This window comes from Homo sapiens, chromosome 10 (assembly GCF_000001405.40).
Source record: "Homo sapiens chromosome 10, GRCh38.p14 Primary Assembly".
Classification (NCBI taxonomy): Eukaryota; Metazoa; Chordata; class Mammalia; order Primates; family Hominidae; genus Homo; species Homo sapiens.
In genome coordinates, this window is record NC_000010.11 from 62,105,994 (window position 1) to 62,111,575 (window position 5,582).

Below are 5,582 nucleotides of genomic sequence, written 5' to 3' on the forward strand. Positions count from 1 at the left end.
TGTTTGTTTGTAAAACTAATTATGAAGATGAGTCAGAAAAAGTGTTGAAAATGAAAAACAGTAAGAACTAGATGACTGATACTAAAACTATTTTAAAGCTCTAATAATTAAAATGGTTTGGCATTAGGGAAAAATAGATCAATGAATAAGAATGAAGAGTTCATAAATGAAACCAAAATCATACGGGAACTAAGATATGAAATGGCAACACTTTAAAACAGTGAGGAAAAGGCAATTAATCAGTAAACAGTGCTAGATCAATTGACTGGAGAAAAAAAATAAAGCTGGATCCTTACTTCAGTTATTTTAGTAACATCAATTCCAGATGGATCAAAAATTTAAATGTAGGGCCGGGAGCAGTGGCTCATGCCTGTAATCCCAACACTTTGGGAGGCCGAGGCGGGCAGATCACAAGGTCAGGAGATCGAGATCATCCTGCTAACACGGTGAAATCCCGTCTCTACCAAAAATACAAAAAAATTAGCCGGGCATGGTGGCAGGTGCCTGTTAGTCCCAGCTACTCAGGAGGCTGAGGCAGGAGAATTGCTTGAACTCCGGAGGCAGAGGTTGCAGTGAGCCGATATTGCACCACTGCCCTCCAGCCTGGGTGACAGAGCGAGACTCCGTCTCAAAAAAAAAAAAAATTAAATATAGAAAATGAGCTATAATGGTTCTAGGAAAATAAATGACTGTGTTTAAGCTCCTGGAATAGGAAAGGCCTTTCTAGGAAGGATTCAAAACCCAGAGACCATAAAGTTAAATTTGACTATATAAAAATTGTGATTTTTTTTTGGAGGGGTGGGTAAAAATATACCCTCAACTAAGAGAAGAAACGAGTGACAAGTTGGGAAAATATTTATAATGGATGTGACAGGAAAAGAGCTAATTGCTTTCATTTTCAAAAAGCTTTTGTAAATAAAATAGAAAACGAACAATCCAATAGGAAAAAAAAATTGACAAAGCTTATCAGTAGTTAATTACCAAAAAGTGAAAATAAGACATAGTAAGTATGAAAATATGCTCAATATTATTTGTAAGTAAAATAATGAAAATTAAACAGCAGCAACAGATTGTTTCTTAACTCATGTTATGAGAACCTACAGTGATGAGTCCTGTTCTGAGAAGGCTATTGACAGGCAAGCACTGTCAGACACTGATGTGGGGCAGGGGTGGTGGACTGGTTCATTTCTGGAAGGAAGCTTGACAAAGTCCATCTACTTTTAAAGGTACATATTATTTTACTCAGTAATATTTGCTTGCTAAGAATTTACCTATATAATTATCCCTGCACATGTTGGTCAAGAGATATGTACAGGTGTGTTCCCTGTGGCATTGTTTGTAACAGCAACAAGGAAAAGTAACCCATCAGTAAGGGATAGTTACATAGCCTATGGGGCTCCTCCTATCTGATAGATTATTATCAGCTGTGAAAAAGAATGAAGTAGCTTTCTGTATATCAGAGACAGGGAAAAAAGAGGTAGAGGACTGTGTGTACTGAATCATTCTTTTTATGTCAATTTTATAGGAATAGATGGACAGACAGACATGCACACTGGTCTAGAAATAAACACATTTTCTAAAAGCAATAAAAAATATTTTACAAGTGGCTACTTTTGGGCAGAGACAAAGAGCTGATGCATGAAGACTTTTATGTTTCATTTCATACTTTACTATTGGAAGTTTTAAAAATACATAGGTGAATTACTTTCATTCGTTAAAATATGGACATGGATTACCTGAGTAGTGAGATGATGAACTTTTTTTCTTCTTATTATTATTATTAATAGTATTATTATTATTATTATTATTATTACTATTTTGAGACAGGGTCCCACTGGAGTGCGGTGGCACAATCTCAGCTCACTGCAACCTCCACCTCCTGGGTTCAAGAGATTGTCCTGCCTCAGCCTCCCGAGTAGCTGGGATTACAGGTGTGTGCCACCACACCTAGCTAATTTTTATATTTTTAGAAGAGACGGGGGTTTCACCATGTTGGCCAGGCTGGTCTGGTCTCAAACTCCTGACCTCAAGTAATCCACCCGCCTTGGCCTCCCAAAGTGTTGGGATTAGAGCCGTGAGCCACCATACCCAGCCATTATTTTTTATTTTTATTTAATTAATTTATTTTGAGACAGGGTCTCACTCTGTCACCCAGGCTGGAGTGCAGTGGCACGATCATGGCTCACTGCAGCCTCAACTTCCCAGGCTCAAGGGATCTTCCCACCTCAGCCTCCAGCTGAGAACTACAGGTGCATACCACCACGCCTGGCTAATTTTTTGTATTTTTTTTTTAGAGCGGGGGTTTCACCATGTTGCCCAGTCTGGTCTCAAATTTCTGAGCTCAAGTGATTCACCTGCCTCAGCATCCCAAAGTGTTGGGATTACAGGCGTGAGCCACTGCACCCAGACTTTTTCTTCTTTAAATGTCTATAGTTTATAAAAAATAAAAGTAAAAAATAAAAATAAAAAATAAAATAAAATAAAAAGTGGGAGAGCCAGGCGTGGTTGCGCATACCTGTAGTTCCAGCTACAGAGGAGGCTAAGGCTTGTGGCCAGGAGTTTAAGACTGTAGTACATGCCTGTGAATAGCCACTGCACTCCAGCCTGGGCAACATAGCAAGATCCTGCCTCTAGAGAAAAAAAAAGTGTGGAAGAGGCAGCAATAAAGAAAAAGATACCAGATAATGTTTTGACCAAAAAGATTTAAGTTCAAATGGTGGCCTGTCCAACACTGCTAGGGTCCCAGGAAGAGCTATTTCTAGAGCAGGAGACTTTCCATCAGCTCACAGATCCCCCCACTTGCCACCCATAATAATGGTTCCCCCATATGTAGCCATCAGAGAGCTTGGCTTCAGCATCAAGAGAGTTAAAATGAATGAAAGGAAATCAGGCTTAAAAGAGAATGTCATTATGATTTGTGCAAGCATTTCCTCTCTATAGATAAAGTGGAGTGAGATGGCAAAAACAGATACAGGCTCACCTCATGCTTTTCCTCCCCTCTGCTTAGTTGGGCAGACTGAGATGGCTTATATCCCTCCTACCTTCTTATGAACCCTGCATGTCCCAGGGGCCTAACCATGCAGCAGCCTTCAGCTGCATGACTCCAGGACCTGCAGGACCCCAGGAATGTGTCCTATGATCCTGGCTGAGTTTTCTCCCATCTGTCACCCATCTCCTAAGCTCTTCCTCTCCCATGGCCTTCTTGGGAAGTTCTTTCCAGTCAATCTTTACTGGTCATTCCTTGAGGCCAGCTTAGCCTCAGGCAGGGTGCAAGAGATGGTAAAACCAGTTTCTACACTTACAGAACTGCTGGATGCTTCTGAAGAGTCTCAGAAAACAATTAGGCAGCCATGTGAAAGTAAAGAGGTAAAGAATTTCAGCCAAGTAAGATGAAGCAGGTGTTGTTGGTTGGCTGACCCAATCTCCAACTCATCTCTTCTTTATCCATACAGCAAGGGGCTCCCCCACAACACCATTTGGGCAAAGAAATAAAAGCAGAAGTATCTGTGAGACTCCTAAAAAAGACCTTTAAAAAGGACAAATCCAACTGGCATGTTCTTTTGGCCTTTTGCTCCTTCCCTGTTTTTCTTCTTTTGGGAATGTGGCCATGAGGCTGCAGGTGGAGTCGCCATCTTACAACCAGTGGCAACATGTCTGAGGGTGAAAGTAACATGCTAAGGAGGGCACAGTGGAACAGAGCAAAGCTGAGTCTCCCCTGACATCCCTGGGCCACTACACTAGGCCTGATGATGCTCATCTACATGTTTCATTATGTGAGAAAAATAAGCTTCCCATTTGTTTAAGGTGCTATTAATGGGATGTTCTGTCATTTGCAGCCAAATCTGCTATTAAATGGTTAACATGGTGTTAAGAGGAAGTGGCTCTGATATAACAGAAAGTGCATGGGCTTTGGAATTGCATGATTTGGCTTCAAATTCTAGTACTGTGACTTATATACCAGGGTAAGTTATCACTTAACTTTTCTGGGTCCTTGTCTCCATAAGTAAAAAAATAGGGCTAATAAAGCTACTCAAACAGATGTCTGCAGTATCCATAGAAAGGGGAAGTGAAAGTAACTGTATATAATAAGTTCCAGCTCAATAAATATCTGATACAACTTTGTTGAGAATGTGGAAGGACATTGAGGAAGTGAGGCTTAGCTGGAATACAAATAAAGCAAGAGGAGGCAAAATGTAATTCAGAAGAAGTAGAGTATGGGAAAAGATTGAGAAATTTCAACAAAAAGGTGTAGTAGGCAAATCATCTTGTCTCTTTAAATAGACCTGAAATCTAGTCTCCCATAGAAACCTCAGGCCGAATGCAACTGTGGCCCAGAAGAATGAGAGAAGAAGGTATCCTTTAGCCCAGGGCTGGAAACCCTCCAGAGAATTCCCAACACCAAAAAGGAAAGAAATATCCTCATTAACATTTCCCTTCTCGTCTTCCTTGTTCCTTTTTCTGCTTTTCCTCCCTCCCTTCCTTTTTTCCTTTTTCCTTCTTTCCTAGATCAAAATTATTTCAAAACCATGGAAGGCAGACACAGTTTGTTCTGACTCACAGTGGATAGAAGATAGGGCCTGGATTTTACACCTTCTAATCTATTTTAGACACAAAGAAAATTTCTGCATTCTCCTATTCCCTCCCGCAAAGAAAAGGCATCACAATGTAGCCCCTGGATGTCAAATAAAGAGTCAGGAGCCCTCGGTCCTGCTCTGTGTATGTTCTTGGATGGTCTCCTAACCTCCAAATTTCAATTTTCTCATTTATCAATTGGGAGTATGAGGAAGGGGGCGGGCAATAGGGGAGGAGCTACCTAGGTAAGCTCTCAAGTTCCTTAACTTCTATTTATTAGCTTCTTGCAGTCCCTGGGGCGATAAGAGAAGGTTAAATTTCTCATTAATCCTATAAATATCTATGGAGCACCAACCCTGTACCAGGAACTGGTTTAACCACCGGAAATACTACTATGAAAGAAATAGATGGCATCCTATATCTTGATGAAGGAGACAGAAAATAAACACACAAACAAAGAAATTGGACAATTTCAGAGAAGCAGTGAAGAAGAAAATACAACTAAGTGATGGAATAGACTGACTGGGAATGAGGGAGCTACTTGAAAAGAGATGGGTCAGGGAAAGTCCTCAATGCGATGTAAACTTTGTGCTTAGCTGAAATGAAGTGCCAGCCTTGCCCCTCTCCTGGCAGGACTCCGGCCTGATCTTTGGGTACTCAGACTCATTCTCAGTGCAAACTTGTTTCTTTGAGCCTCTTGGTTCCTGAACAATATCCCCAGTCTATGATCTTAATGGGCTCACACTATGGGTCTACATGGCCCATTGGAATATTCAAAGTGGGTACAGTCAATCCCCACAGTGGCCAAAGGAGAAAATAAGGAAGCCAGGAGCTGTGCAAGCCAGTCCAGGAAGACAGGCAGAATATAATGCATTTCTGTTTAATCTACTTTTTATCTCATCTTTTTGATTTTTTTAAGTGGGGATAGGGTTTTCTTTACAATGAATATGATATATTGCGTGCATAACAATAATAGTGTATACGTAACAGTGCTTGCTGGTACTTAGACA

General features: G+C 40.7%; 2 annotated features.

The window, feature by feature from the left end:
- Nucleotides 3,759–3,808: an enhancer, noted in NCBI's record as "active region_3413". NCBI's record gives its function as "activates an Ori minimal core promoter by ATAC-STARR-seq in GM12878 lymphoblastoid cells {active_cell/tissue: GM12878}" and the evidence as "EXISTENCE:reporter gene assay evidence [ECO:0000049][PMID:35858748]".
- Nucleotides 3,839–3,908: an enhancer, noted in NCBI's record as "active region_3414". NCBI's record gives its function as "activates an Ori minimal core promoter by ATAC-STARR-seq in GM12878 lymphoblastoid cells {active_cell/tissue: GM12878}" and the evidence as "EXISTENCE:reporter gene assay evidence [ECO:0000049][PMID:35858748]".